Genomic DNA, 16,077 nt, shown 5'->3' with positions numbered 1-16,077 from the left:
GTCTTCCTCATTAACAGACCCTTCTTAGTTATATCTCACTTTCTAAGTTCCTGCCTTCCACTTCCTAGGAGAGAAAAAACTACACAGCATTACCTGAACATCATCCCAGGGTAATCACAGAGCAGCCATCTCCGCAAAAGAAGGAAAAATGAACTGTGTAATGTTGCAATATTTTTAACTGCAAATAATTTTGCATACAAGGCTTACCTACAATTGACCATTTTTGCACTAAATGCTTTTTTAAAGTAACAAGCTAATATCTTCTTAATATAAAAATATACATGTCCAACAAAATTTAACTTGTTCTGCTATCATGAAAAGAGGAATTCCAGACAAATGTCTCATAATGTGCAGTCAGTGGGCTTATATAAATAAGGACTAAAATTACAAGCTCAATAAAAGATCATCAAACCAGGGAAAACTCCAAGTAAAATTATAATACACAGTTGTCCCTCCCACCTGAGACTCACCTGAGACTCATACTTTCCTTCCAACATGCCTGTTCTGCCTATTCCCTCAAGACTCAGACTTCAAATGAGTTCCCTTTAAGTAGATAAGAACAGTTTCGCAACGGATTCCAGAAAAACCAATATGCCACCTAAAGGACAAGGAAGGCATCTACACTAAGAAAATGAAAAGAAGTCAGAGAGAGAACTTCCTGACTTACTCAGATTATATACCCATGGGTCCACATATGCCTAAAGGCCAACCTTGTCCTTAATCTTTAGTCACTCAATCTATAAAATAAAAGATTTAGAAAAGGGCTATGGGCAATATGGATCTTTTGCAGGTACAAAATTTTTTAAGTCCATAAACTTTCTCTTTAAAACACTGAAGACCATTAGTGATGGTTATAATATTCTTGTCTGAACTGAGAGCTATAGTCAGGCTCCTTTTAGAAGCCCTGCCATGAACAGAGAAAAAAGAAAAGGCATGTTCCTACTCCTCTATCCTCTGTAGACATCTTCTCCGTGATAAGTTAATAATGAGAAGAGAAAACCAACCTTCTAGCTTTCTCATCATTTAATGGTTTGAACCCTGAGTTTCTGCAGCCTGGAAAAAAAAAAAAAAAAAAGAGGAAGCAGCAGCAGCAGCAGCAGCAAGTTCTCCTCATCTGAAATTCTTCCCTCTCCTAGCTCACCTTCCCCACCTTCTCACTCCTTTGTGGTCCTCACAGTCAGATATGAGGTAATAGGTGGAAAATACTTCCCTGTGATAAGGCAGTGATGCCTGAGCCACCCACTTCTGGTAAGAAAGCTGTTCCTAAAGAATAGCAAATGGTACTCATGTTTTGGGGGACTCTATGCTACTTAGAAGCGAGTGGCTAAAGTTGCACGGTGACTAATTCAAGAACAAACAGAAGAAAAGGACAAACAGAAAAATAAACAGAAAGAGGCATGCCCTTAGCCTCAATCAGGTAGTTCTAAGAAAGTGATTAGGATGGTTCGGAGACCACCAGCCCCATACCTTATCCAGTCACCAAACAACCCAGGCTGGGGTGTGGTTGCCTGGCAACCACACCTTCCATGTACCGAGTATGTCACAAATATGTCTTTCCGGTGTGTGATCTCTTGACTGTGAAAAGTAAAACGCTAAATCAATTCAGCAGGCTTTGAGTGTCTACAATGTGCTAGTCACTGTATCAGAGATGTGGATCCAGGGATGATGCAATAACTTCTGCCTCCAAGGAGCTCATAGTTTAGTGGACATCTGGCAAAGTACTCACTGATTCTTGACAATTCATATAATCATATCAATAGATGCAAAAAAGCATTTGACAAAATCCAAATTCCATCCTTGATTTAAAAAAAAAAATTCTTGGAAAACTAGGACTAGAGGCAAACTTTCTCAACTTGATAAAAAATATCTACAAAAAAAATCTACAGGGAGAATCTAGAGGCTTTCCCCTAAGATAGGTAACAAGGCAAGGATGTTCTCTTTTACCACTCCTATTCAACATCTTATACAACTTCTGACTAATTCAGTAACAAAAGGCATACAGTTGAAAAGGAAAAAATAAAACTGCCTTGCTTCTCAGATGACATAAATGTCTATATAAAATATCTCAAAGAATAAACAAAAACAATTAGCCACTTAATCTATAAAATAAAAGATTTAGAAAAGGGCTATGGGCAATATGGATCTTTTGCAGGTACAAAATTTTTTAAGTCCATAAACTTTCTCCTTCAAACACCGAAGACCTGGAACTTAGCTGGGCGTGGTGGCTCACACCTGTAATCCCAGCACCTTGGGAGGCTGAGGCATGCGGATCACTTGAGGTCAGGAGTTTGAGACCAGCCTGACCAAGATGGTGAAGTGCCATCTCTACTAAAAATACAAAAAATTAGCCAGGCATGGTGCCGTGCACCTGTAATCTCAGCTACTCGAGAGGCTGAGGCAGGAGATTCTCTTGAACCCGGGAGGCAGTGGTTGCAGTGACCTGAGATCGCGCCACTGCACTCCAGCCTGGGCAACAGAGCGAGACTCCATCTCGAAATAAATCAATAAATAAAAACTCCTGGAACTTAATAAGCAATTACAGCAAGGTTGCAGAATACAAAGTTAATATGCAAAAGTCAATTCCTTTTCTATAAACCAGCAATTAACAATTGGAATTGGAAATATAAAACACAGTATCATTTACATTAGCTGCTCCCCAAAACTGAAATATACAGGTATAAATATAACAAAATATATACAGGATCTATATGAGAAACTCTACCAAACTTTGACAAAGGAAAGCAAATATCTAAACAAATGGAGAGATATTTCATGTTCATGTATAGAAACACTCAATATTTTTAAGACCTCAATTCTTCCCAATATGGTTTATAAAGCCAATGTAATTCCAACAAAAATACCAGCAAATTGTTTCATGGGTATCAACAAATTCATTCTGAAGTCTATATGAAAACGCAGAAAACCCAAAATAATCAACAAAATACTAAAGAAGAACAAAGTTGGAAGACAGATAATACAAGATTTCAAGACAAGACCACAAGGTACTGTTGAAAGAATAGACAAATAGATCAATGGAACAGAATACAGTATCCATATAAATATATCCACACAAATGTAGTCAACCGATCTTTAGTAAAGAAGCAAAGAAAATTCAGTGAAGAAAGAATATTCTTTTTCAAAAAATGATAATGGAACAGACCTTACACCTTTCACAAAAAAATAACTCAAAATGAATCACAGACCTAAATGTAAAACACAAAAACTCTCAAACTTCTAGAAGATAACTGTATTGGTGCCCAAGAGCTGCTATAACATGGTACCACAAACTGGGTGGCTTAAAAGAAGGGAAAACAAATCTGAAAATTAGAAGCCTTAAATCAAGGTGTCAGCAGGGCTGCACTCTATCTGAAGGCTCTAGGGGAGTATACTTCCTTGTCTCTTCCTGTCTTTTGGTGGTTGCCAGAAATCCTTGGACAGCACGATTCAACTGTCTCACACAATTTAAACCACAACAGTCTTCTCTCCAATCCCCCAAAAGTCATATCCTTACTGTATGCAAAATACATTCACCCCATTTCAACATCTCCAGGACCCTTGACCCATTCCAGCATCAACTCTAAGTCAAAATTGCCTCTAAATATCAACTGTAATGTCCCAAATCTCATCTCCTAAATCACCTAAATCAAGTATGTGTGAGATCCTGGGTATGGTCCAGCCTGGGGCAAAGTTTCTCTCCTATGGACACTGAAATCCACAAAACAAGTTATCTGCTTCCAAAATACAACAGGCATAGGACAGACAGTCACCTTCCAAAAGGGAGAAACTGGAAGGAAAAAGTGGGTCACAGGTCTCAAACAAGTCCAAAACATGGCAGGGAAATTTTCATTAGGTTTCCAGGGCCTGAGAGGGCTGTCTGGATCCATGAGTCACCAGGTAATCTTTTCAGTGAATGGTTGTTCAGCCACACCCTTGGTCCTGTTTCGGGAGTATGTTTCCTGGATTGGCTGAGAACTTTCAAACCCATCAAGTGCTGGTTCCTTTGCTTAACAATTCCTTCCTCAAGTTATCTCTTTCCTTTTGCATTTCACTATAAGCAGCAAGGAGAAACCATGGCCCCATCTTTCACGCTTTACTTAGAAATCTCCTCAGCTCACTGCCTACAAGTTCTGCTTTCCACCCACAGGTAAAACACAGTTCACCCAAATTTCTGCCACTCTGTAATAAGGATCACTTTTCCTCCAGTGTCTGATAATATATTCACCACTTCCTTTCTAAGGCCTCACAAGAAGCACCTTTAAAGTTCACATTTCTAGTAACATTCTGTTCATGACAACATATGTATTCTCTAAGATGCAAAGAATCTATGATAGATGCTTTTTCTAAAATTCCCCTCTCTACTGAGCCTTCACCAGAATCACCTTTAATATCTGTATTTCTACCAATAGTCTTTTCAAAGCAGTCTAGGCTTTTTATGTTATGCACCTAAAAATTATTCCAGTCTATACACAATTCCAAAGCCACTTACATGTTTTTTAGGTAGTTATTCCAACAGAAAAAGATTTCCTGGTATCAAAATATGTATTCATTTCCTATGGCTGCCATAACAAAGTGCCACAAATTGGATGGCTTAAAAATGCAGAAATGTATTCTCTCACAGTTCTGGGGGCAGAAGTCTGAGGGTGGCAGCAAGGCCATGCCCTCTGTTAGGCCCCAGGGAAGGATGTTTAATTGTCTCTTCCTAACTTTTGGTGGTTTCAGTAATCCTTGATGTTCCCTGGTTATAGACATCCCACTCCAATTTCAGCCTCTGCTGTTACATGAATTTCTCCCTCTGTGTCCAAATTTCCCTTGTTTTATAGGGACACCAGTCATTGCATTAGGACCTCAGCTTAACTTGTTTAACATTTGCAAAGATCCTATTTCTAAGTAAGGTTGGACTCACAGGTATCTGGGGTTAGGACTTCAAAATATTCTCTTGGGGTATAAAATTCAACCACACAACAATAATAAAAGAGAAAATCTATGTGACCTTGGTTTTGGCAATGAGATTTTAAATACAACACCAAAAGGATAATCCAGGAAACAAAGTTGATAAGCTGGACTTTATTAAAATTAAAAACTTCTTTTCTGCAAAATACACTGTTAAGAGACTACAAAGACAAGCTACAGACCAGGAGAAAATGTTTGAGAAAGCACATATCTGACAGAAAATTTCTAATAAAAAATAAACAAAGAACTCTTAAAGCTCAACAATGAGAAAACAAACAACCTCATTTAAAAATTGGCAAAATAGGCATGCCACTGCAAATTCCGTGAAACAGGAGAAAAACTGTGAGTTCCCAAAGTGTAAGAGGGAGAAAACCGACCTCCAAACACACATCCCTGCTGGGAATCTGAAAATCCAGATCACAGGAGAAGAATTTAACCTTACCTAGAGATGGAAGGGATTTAGAGAGTCACACAAAATATGAAAGTAGAAGTAGCAGCAGGAAGTGCCTTGTATGCACTCCCAGTCTCCAGCTCGAGCACAGGGACGCCATCCCTGACTATATCTCACTGGGGCCCTTGTGGAAGACAACCAGCAGAACTGCGGAAGTGTTGTGGGGTGAAGAAAGCTCCCAGATGAAATTGGTAGTGGTTTCGACTGGGCACACATTTTCTGGAGTGGAGTCCAAGGAAGGAGCAGGAGCTGCTGCAGATACAAGCAAGTACAGGAGTACAAGAACTGCCACCAACAGAGCAGGGGCAAGGTCTGGGCGGGGCATTGCAGGATATGCGGGCTTGCCAACTGCATGGGAGTTGAGTCAGGCCTCTTGCTACTGGCTATCCCTGACTTCCCTGGCAAACTATATAATACAGTAGAGGCGGCCAAGATCCCCTATGGAACATAACCCCATTGGCCGGAGAACCAACCCCCAGCCCCCACAGTGGCCTCAGCAAGCCCCGCCCAAGGAGCTTGCCTAACCCTGCTGCCTAACCAGACCTGCCTAACCCTGCTGCCACCTGACGGCATTTCCCTACCTGCCCTGGTAGCCTAACACAAAACATAGAAACTCTGGGGAGCTTCATCCCCTGAACCCTGCCCCCAGCACCCTCTGCTCTGGAGGGTTGTCTTTAATTGTCTATGGAGCATATATATATACTCTTTCCCTATGGTATATAAGCCCTGAGTCTGGGGAGTAATGGTGTGAACATCTACCTGTCTTACACGAACACATTTCTGCCCAAGAACACATTTCTGTCCATAAGTTTCCCCTAAAAATCACCCTCTGCCAATAAACTAGATATGCCTGCCTCATTCTTTGATTTCTTGGCTCCTTCTGTATTTGGAGGTTATTTTGCATATATGGCCCTTTCAAGGAATATCTATCTATATAAAGATAAAACAATAAGCTATCAAGCTATAATAAGATATGGAGAAAGCTTAAATCAATGTTTCTAAAGAAAAGAAGCCAATTTGAAAGGCTGCATACTATATAATTCCAACTATATGACACTAGGAAAAGCAAAACTTTTGAGACAGCAAAAAGATCAGTGGTAAGCAGGGGTTCAGGGGTTGAGCTAGAATAATGAACAGAAGAAGCACAGAAGACTTTTAGGGCAATGAAACTATTTTATATGATACTATAATTGTGGATACATGACATTATACATTTGTCAAAACCCATAGAAATGTACAATATAACTAGTGAACCTTAATGTAAACTACAGACTTCAGTTAATACTAATCTATAGATATTGGCTTATTAACTATAGCAAATGTACCAAACAAACACAACATATTAATAACAGGGAAAACCATGGGGCTGAGGGGGTATAGGGTAACTTTCTGTACTATCTACTCAATTTTTTAATAAATCTAAAACTGTTCTAAAAGTAGTCTGTAAAATAAGATTTTTAAGAGCAAACAGAACAAGAATTTTAAAAGATAATTGTCTGAAGCACAAATAATGACAATTATATGGTGCACTTTATAAGATATGTAGATGTAAAATGTATGGCAATCATAACACAAAGTATGGGTGGGAAATAATGGAAGCACACTGTTGTAAGGTATATATATTATACTATATGTGAAATGATATATTATTTGAAGGTAGACTGTGACAAACTTATACAGCCTAGAGTAACCACTAAGAAAAGAATAAAAAGAAGGAGAAGAAGCATGGAGGAGAAAAAGCAGAAGCAACATAAGGGCAGAGTGGAGATAAAATGGAGTAAAAAATTGAGTCATTAAAGAAAGCCTCATTTAAGCCAAAAGGGTATGGGAAAAGAAGGGACTAGATTAAAGAACAGGTAAGGCAAGCGCAAACCTGGCAAGATGATAGATTAAGATCTAATCATATCAATAATTATATTAAATGTAAATGGTCTGGCCATCCAAATTAAAAGTCAGGGATTGTCTGACTGGATTAAAAAAGTGAGATCCAATTATATACTGTCTACAAGGAACCCACCGTACATATAAAGACATTGATAAACTAAAAAAATGGAAAAAAGATAACCCATGTAAACACTAATCAAAAGAAGGTAGAATGGCCATATTAACATCGACAACATAGACTTTAAAAAATGATAAACATTTCCAGAAATGAAAAGGGGCATTACATAATACATAGGAATTCTAAATGTGTGTGTATCCAACAACATAGCTTCCAAAGTGATAAAATGAAAACTGAAATGAAAAAAACAGAAAAATCTACAACAATGTTGGAGACAAGTAGGCAGATAATAAGGACACAGAAAACCTGAACAACATTATGAAGCAATTTGGCCTAACTTTTATAGGGCATCCCAGCCAACAACAAAATAAGTATTAAAGTGGACACGGAACATTCACAAGGATAGTCCATATTCTGGGCCTAAAAACAAACCATAAAACATTAAACTGAAATACAAAATATGTTTTTAAAAATGGAATTAAAATAGAAATCAACAGAAATAAACCTTTAAAATTCTAAAATATTTGGAAATTAAACAATATATTTCTAAATAACTCCCAATTCAAAGAAGTGACAAAGGAAATTACACAATATTCTGAATTGAATGAAGGTAAAAATACAACATCAAAATTAGTGGATGCAGCTAAAACAGTGCTGATAGAGAAATTTATAGCATTAAATATTTATATTGGGAAATAATAGAGGCCTCAAATGAGTAATCTAAGTTCTTACCTTAAGAAATTAAAAAAGAAATTAAATCCAAGGCAAGCAAAAAGAGGGAAATAATAAAGAGGAAAAAAAATCAATGAAATGGAAAATAAAAAAATAACAGAGAAAAATCAATGAAACCCAAAACAGGTCCATGAAAAGATTTTAAAAAAAATTGCTAACCTCTAGACCCTCAATGTCCAGTAGAACTTTGTATAATGATGAAAACATTCTATATAGCAGCACCCTCCAATGTGGAAGCCACTTGGGACTACTGATCACTTAAAATGTGGCCAGTGTGACTGAGGAACTCAATTTTTAATGTAATTTTATTGAAATTAATTTACATTTAAATAGACACATGTGACTAGGGATAACTATTGAACAGTGCAGCTCTAGAATTGACTACTGAAAGAAAGGAAGGGGTGGGAAGGAAAGAGGAAGAGGAAGAGATAAAGGAGGGAGAGAAAGAGGGAGGCAGAGAAGATGAGATACACAAATAACCAAAATCGGAAATGAAATGAAAAAGAGGACTTCACTACAGATCCTAATGTTAGTGCCATTAAAAGGATAATAAGAAAGTATTACAAACAACTGTATGCCAAAGTTGATAACATAGATGAAAAAAACTAATTCCTTGAAAGACACAAAGTACTAAAGTTCACTCAAAAAGAACTGAGTAGCATATACAATCTGAATAGCCATATATAGTTTTAAAAACTTGAGTCCATGGTATAAAACTAACACAAGGAAACTCTAGGCCCAGATACCTCCCTGTTGAACTCTACCAAACCTTTAAGGACGAATAACAATCCTATACAAAATGTTCCAGAAAATAGAAAAGAGAACACTCCAAACTAATTTATGAGACCACCATTAACCTTGATACCAAAATCAAGAATATTACAGACCAATATCTTTATACACCAATATCCCTCATGAATGTATATGCAAAAAAATCCTTAACAAAATATTATCAAGTAGAATAGATTTATTTCTCCATTTATTTGGTTTTCTCTCTTCAATGTTTTAGAGTTTTTAGTATTCAAATATTACAGAACATCATTAGATTTATCCCTCAGTTTTTCATGTTTTTGATACCATTGTAAACTGTATTTCTAAGTTTTAATTTCCAATTGTTCATTGCCAGTGCTAAATACAATTGATTTTTGTATATTGGCCTCACATCCTGTGTCTTTGCCAAAGTCATGTTATTTCTAGTTGCTTTTTTGTAGATTCCTCGGGCTCCTACATAAACAATCATGTTGTCTGCAAATAAAGACAATTTTATTTCTTCCTTTTTTATCTGTGTACATTTATATCTTTTCCTTCCTTTATTTCACTGACTAGGACCTCCCTATAACGAACAGAAATTGTGAATGGAACATCCAATGTGATGCTGGTATAAGAATAGACATATACCTCAGCAGGAAAGAACAGAGAGATTAGAAATAATTCACACATAGCAACAATTGATTTAGGAGGGGAAAGGTGCCAAGATAATATAATGGGGATAGGATAGTGCTTTCAACAAGTGTGTGGGAAAATGAGACATCCACATACAGAATTATGAACTTCACCCCATACTCATATTATGTACAAAAATCCACTCAAAATAGATGACAGACCTAAATGCAAACTCTAAACCTATAAAACTTCTAGCTTAAAGCTTAGGGGAAAGCTTTTGTGACACTGGATTACACAAAGATTTCTTAAGACACTAAGCACAAACCACAAAAGAAATAATTGATAACTTGACTTTGAAAAAATCAAAAGCTTCTGCTCTTCAGAAGACAGCATTAAGAAAATGCAAAGTCAAGTCCCAGTCTGGGAGAAGATATTTGCAAAACACACATCTGAGGAAGGACCTATATCCTAAATATATAGACCCTTATAACTCAAAAAGAGGACGACCCAATTTTAAATAGTCAAAAGATGTGAACAGATACTTCACCAAAGAAGAAACATAGATGGCAAATAAATATATGAAAACATGATTAAGACAACTGGTCAACATAAAAATGCAAAGGAAAACCATACGAAATACTGCTACATACCTACTAGAAATGCTAAAATCAAGCACACACACACAGTCCAATACAAAGTGATTCTGGTGAGGATGTGGAGCAAATGGAATCTCATGCATTGCTGCTGGGATCTCTACTCATCATCTTGCTTTATTTTTCCCAAAACCACTTTTTATTACCTTAAAGTTTGCTTACCCATGTAAGTCCATATATATCTTCTCACATGTTTATTGTCTATCTTCCCCAATATAAGTACTATGAGGCTGGCAACTTGGTCTGTCCTGTCATCACTGTGTCATTCTGGCACCAAGAACAGTGTCTGGCAATCTTTACATATTTATTAAAAGTGAGGAAGGGGTGGAAAGAAAAGACACTAAGACATCTATAAGTGAATATATGAAGGCAAGGAACCCAGTCACAGCCATCTACAGAGGAGCGTTAAGAGAAAATTAATTTAGACCACCAGGAAGCTGCATGTTGTAATGCATGATTCCCAATTTCAGCTGCACATTAGAATTAGCTGGAGAGCTTTGCAAAATCCCAATTCCAGGCCACACCAGACCAACAAAATCTGAATCTCTGAGAATGGAACACCAGCACTGGTCATTTTTTTTTTTTTTTTTAGACGGAGTCTTGCTCTGTTGCCACGCTGGAGTGCAGTGGTGCCATCTTGGCTCACTACAACCCCCACCTCCCAGATTCCAGTGATTCTCCTGCCTCAGCCTCCCAAGTAACTGGAACTACAGGTGCATGCCACCACGCCCAGCTAATTTTTGTATTTTTAGTAGAAATGGGGCTTCACCATGCTGGCCAGGATGGTCTTGATCTCTTGACTTCGTGATCCGCCCGCCTCAGCCTCCCAAAGTGCTGGGATTACAGGCGTAAGCCACCACACCCAGCCAAGCACTGGTAATTTTAAAGTTCCCAGGTGATCCCAGTGTGCACTCAAAGTTGAGAATCACTGAAAAAATGGAACCTAGACCTTGGAAATGTACACAACTGAGTGTGCAAGCTACTTAACCTCCCTTAGCCTCAAAATTCTCATCTACAACATGGGAAATATATGTACCTCCCAGAGTTGCTGAAATATTGAGATTCTATATAAGGCTCTCAGGAAATGTAAATTCTCATCCCCAAGGGAAACTTGATCAAATCTTCATAGCTTAGGGTAAGAAATGCTAATTCTACCAGCAATTCACATTTTTCATTGTTAGCTGATTATTTTATTGAACATTTACATTGAGGAAATTCAGAAATGCTCATTTTTCCACTTTCCTGGTGGTAAGATGCTGCCTGAAGCTATGTTTAAATTTTCAAGAGTAAATAAACTATGGCGGGAAATCTAGCTGACTATGCCAGTGAATCTCAAACCTAGCTGTACATTAGAATCATCTCAGAAATTTTTTTAAAGAAACACACGTATGTCCAGAACTCACCAGGCCAAATTAAATCAGAATCCCTGGGGTGGCTCCAGAATATCAGTATTTTTTAAAAAAGCTGATAGAAAGGTAATTGTAAAACACAGTCAGGGCTTAAAAGCACTGATTTGTACTAACGATATGCCATGCTAACTGCACATCACAGTCACTTGGGGAGCTCTTAAAAAAGTTGATTGATTCCAGAACCCTACCGAGACTTACTGATTCAGAATCTGTGGAAGTGGAGCCTGTCATTGTGCAAATCTTCATAAAACTCCCCACTGGTGATTCTGATGCAAACTCACTGAGAACCACTACTTTGTATCATACATTTACTCTACGTGTTGTATATCAGAAAGATCATTTAAAACTTTCAGTGGTCTCAAATGCCAAGCCTGCCAGTTACTTTTAATCAGTAACTGACACAACACATCACAGTAACTCCAATGACTTTACAGATCTTTTCAGAACACTTTTATGTCCAGCCCACTGACCCACATCACCTACCCTATGCTGTGCCAAATACTGGCTATGTAGTCCGTTGGTATTTCTAACCAAATTCCTCTAAATGGGCTGCTGATCTGGGAAAAGCAACATGGAATCACATTACTCCCCAAGCCTTATTCCCCTTTGCTAAGTGGTATGTAATGCCAGGATTAATGAAATGAACTCTATTGGTCAAATGAGTCTGAATGAAATCTGAGTTGTTGTCTGCTCCTGGAAGCAAACTGTTATCTATTTGTTTCCCTCAGAGAGATAAACTCAGAGGAAACAGGAGTGATCCCTGAGGTGGGAATAATATAGTGGGCTGCAATTTTAAAACTCTGCTTAGACAATAACAGGACACTTGGAATCTTATTTTGATAGATCAAACCAATCAGTATATACAGCACCATGGTGGTACTACCAGGCAGGTGATAATAGTAGCATTTAAACAACCAGGCACTATATTAGGCATATTAAATATATTAACTCATGTGATTCTCAACTGCGATGATAATAGCCCTATCAGGCAGGTACTATTATTATTTCCATTTTGTCAAAAAAGAAACAAAGGCACACAGAAGTTAGATGATTTACCCAAAGTCCCATAGCTACTAAGTGGCAGTTTTCTGAAACCAGGCAATCTGGCTTTGGAGTCCAACATCTTAAGTACTCCACTGCAATGCAGATGAGTGATGGCCAAGCAGTTTAAAAAAAAAGAAAAAGTTATTGTCTGCAGTAGAAACTGGAGGTCAGGGTATGGGTACCTTGGGCAAATTACTTAACCTCTTGGAGCCTATTTTTGCATCTGAAAAATCAGGATAATAATTGTACCTGCCTTGTAGAGCTGAGGTGATGATTAAACAAGATTAGGCATGTGATGTGCTTAGAAAAGTACTTGGCACTTTTAAGAGCTTTCTGTCAGCCATTATTATTATTTGTATTTTAAAACAGCTCAAGTGGTCAGGGAGAAATGAAAATCTATTAAACTGAAAATTTTCCTGCCAATCTTAGATTTGTAGATTCTGTAGATTACCAGTACATCAGATCCAATATGAAATGCAGTCATAAAAGATTTTCACAAAAACTTAAGGACTGTCACTGTGACAAACCCCAGCCCAAACAGTCCAGGACAATGGCTCTAAAAAGCAAACATCTTCAATTATCAAGCTGTGTACATGTAAACACAACAGGAACCAGACTTCTGAGTAGCTGCAAACTGCAGTTCTCTGTGATGGGAGAACATGCCCCAGAACAGCCTGTCAAGTGGTAATTGCCAGCCATCCTCAGTCACATATGTATAAACAGAAAAGAAAAACAAAACGAGGGCTCAAATAAAAAGCGTTAACATTCATTAAACGCCTGACACTCTATTAAATGTTTTTCATGCATTACCTTCTTTAATCCTCACAACACCCTTCCAAAGTTGAACATGAAACAACCACACTGGTTTATATCACTTTAAATGTAAGACTACACGTCTCAAATGGGCCCTGAGCACTGCCTGGGAATCCAACTCTATTTCTCTAGTACGCTCACTTTCACCCTCTCTAGGACTCTGTCACATATCTCTCCTCCAAGTTCCCACACCTTTCCTCTCCCCCGCTGCCCTCCCTCTAAGCTGATGGATGCCTATACCAATAGACTCTTTTCCCACCACCCACTGTATCTGCACCTGTTATCTCAGCTTCCCCTCTAGTTACAACAGAGTAAGTGTCCCTGCTCATTTCAAAACCAACTACTCACCTGCTTAGGGTCTTCTCCTTTCTCAGGTATTCAACAACTACCCTTTACAATGTTCCCCTCTTTCATCTGCAGCAGTTTTTCCTTTCTACGAGTTTAATCACATTGCCATATAAACATTCTGCTTTCTTCTATCTTGAAAAAAACTCTACCCAACCTTAAGGCCCCTCTTCCCCATTAAAGTTGTTCTTGTCAAAATGATTAAAATCCTCCTAATTACCAAAGTCATCTTATACGGTAACATTCAACATGGTTGACCACTACCTCCCTCCCTTTTTTGGCTTCGCCTCCTCTTCTTTGTGTACACTATTAAACTAGATGTCTTCACCAGTCCCATATATTTTAAATACTATGTACAGTATATGATGCCGATTCCAAAGGTTAACTCTAGCCCGACATCCTCCAGAACTTCAGATTTAAATTTCTAAAAAGCACATTTGATATCTCAACCCAAATATCTACTAGATAATTTATGTGTGTATATTTCACCATACTAAAAAAAACTACCAGGTGACTGATAAATGGAGAGAAGGTGAATAGGTAATGTGAAAAATCAAATGTGCTAAATATTCATGGCACCTGTAGGTGGTAGGTGGTCAGAGTCCTCTGCAAAATTCTTCCCAGCTATGCTTATGTCTTCTATTGGGAAAAACCTACTGGGCATCTCAAACCTAACACATTCAAAACATAAGTACTGATTCCACAACTTCCAAAAATGAAACCTACCCCATCCTACAGTTTTCCTTGAGTCAAGGCTAGCATATGAGGGCCTTGGCATATGGGGGCATTGCCTATCGCGTTCATAGATATTCTGAGCTTCTAGAACAGCATCTGGCACACAGGAGGCGTTCAAAATAGCTGCTGAATGGATTGATGAATTCATGTTCTTTCTTTCTAGGTCCCTCGACCTCCACCCGCCCTTGAGTCATTGGGAAGTTCTGGGCTGTCTCAGCGCCTGATGATGGCTTCTTACCAATCATACCACACGGCTGCTCCTCAGGGAGTTGGTGGCATTCCCCTACCACAGAGCCACAGGGTTCCTGTCCCGGTCCCGTCTCGCATAGGCGCCCCAACACGCGTCACAGTGCAGCTGGCATCACACGGCCAGAATCACGTCCTGCCCTCTGGCTGCAGCGACACTACTTCACAGCTCAGGCCCACCCGGGCAGTCTCCCGGGCCAGGGCCACAACCCACGCCTTGTGACCCCTGCACGTCAACGGCATCTTCCTTCTTCACGCCCGCCCTCCCACAGCCCGGCGCAGCGGCCTCCCGCACGCCCCCTGCCCACCTGGCCCCCAGCCACCTTTCCTCACCTGGGCCTGCGGGGCCGCCCCAACTGTCCCGCTGCAACCCCAGCAGCCTCGCCAGTTGGGTCCACGCCTAGCCTGCCGGCCTTCGTCGCTATCCAATCCCACCTGCGCCCGCGAGCCTGCGCACTGGAGCTTTGCCCTGCGCCGCGGCACTCTGCCCTGCGCCGCGGCCCTCTGCTTGCCAGGCCGGGAGAGACAGAACCTGCCTCTACCGGTCTTCCAAGGCACTGAGAGCCCATCGCCGCGGACGCCGCTGTAAATTCCCTGCGGGCCCTGTGCACCACCCTGTGCGGGTCCCCCTCTCCCAGGCCAGGCTGATAATGTCAACAGCTCTCTGAGCTATGCTCATATCCTGAACCACTGAGGACTGTGTTCTCCAGGAATGCTCGCCTGACCCACGCCTGCCCTCTAAGCCCCTAATGAGGCCCCAGAGGGCTGGGGTGGGGGGGTCTCTTTGTAGTATCAGAGCAGGGCAGATAGGCAAAAGGAGTCAGAGCCTGTGCCAGAATATGAGGTCAGTTGGCTGCTAGGTCAATTAAGACAACTTCAGCAAGGGTGGTCAATGTAGAGGGAATTCAATCGTTGGCATTGCCTGAAAACAGGAAGCCAGAATCTTTTTATCTTGACGAACAAACCTCTATTCATTGGTCCTGACCTGAGCCACTTTGGTGAATCCAGATACCCTGAAGGTGTGACAAGACCTGCCTCACTTATCCCCCAGCCTTCAGTGCTGGTCCCACAGAGAGCCATATGCTTGAGCTGAACTGCAGTTAAGCAGTGACAGCTACCCTCTGTCCAGGCTCTGAGGCCAGCCTTCTGCTCCGTGAGTCACTGACAGTGAGTCTCTACAGAGACTTTTTCTTTCTGTAGCAGCCAAGGTACCCTGCAAGCAACCCACGCCATTGCCATATGTCTTAGTTTGTTTGTGTTGCTATAAAGCAATACCTGAGGCTGGGTAATTTATAAAGAAAAGAGGTTTGTTAG

General features: G+C 39.8%; 1 protein-coding gene across 88 annotated transcripts in view; it reads right to left on the bottom strand.

Annotated features, from left to right (window-relative positions):
• The window catches only part of PTPN20 (protein tyrosine phosphatase non-receptor type 20), a 92,226-nt gene extending 77,056 nt beyond the window's left edge, over positions 1-15,170 (bottom strand). For 46 of the 88 annotated variants that reach the window (NR_148022.2, NR_148023.2, NM_001352548.2 and 43 more), the window contains exon 1: positions 15,097-15,170. Coding sequence is in view for 9 of the 88 variants with exons in the window: in NM_001042358.5 (NP_001035817.1) it covers positions 14,756-14,762 (7 nt within the window). In the remaining 79 variants the exon portion in view is untranslated. The other 42 variants (NR_148024.2, XM_011539605.3, NM_001320683.2 and 39 more) reach the window with 5 other exon arrangements.
• Between the last annotated feature and the right edge of the window lie 907 nt (positions 15,171-16,077).

Source organism: Homo sapiens, chromosome 10 (genome assembly GCF_000001405.40).
Source record: "Homo sapiens chromosome 10, GRCh38.p14 Primary Assembly".
Lineage (NCBI taxonomy): Eukaryota > Metazoa > Chordata > Mammalia > Primates > Hominidae > Homo > Homo sapiens.
This window is presented reverse-complemented; position numbering and strand designations above follow the sequence as displayed.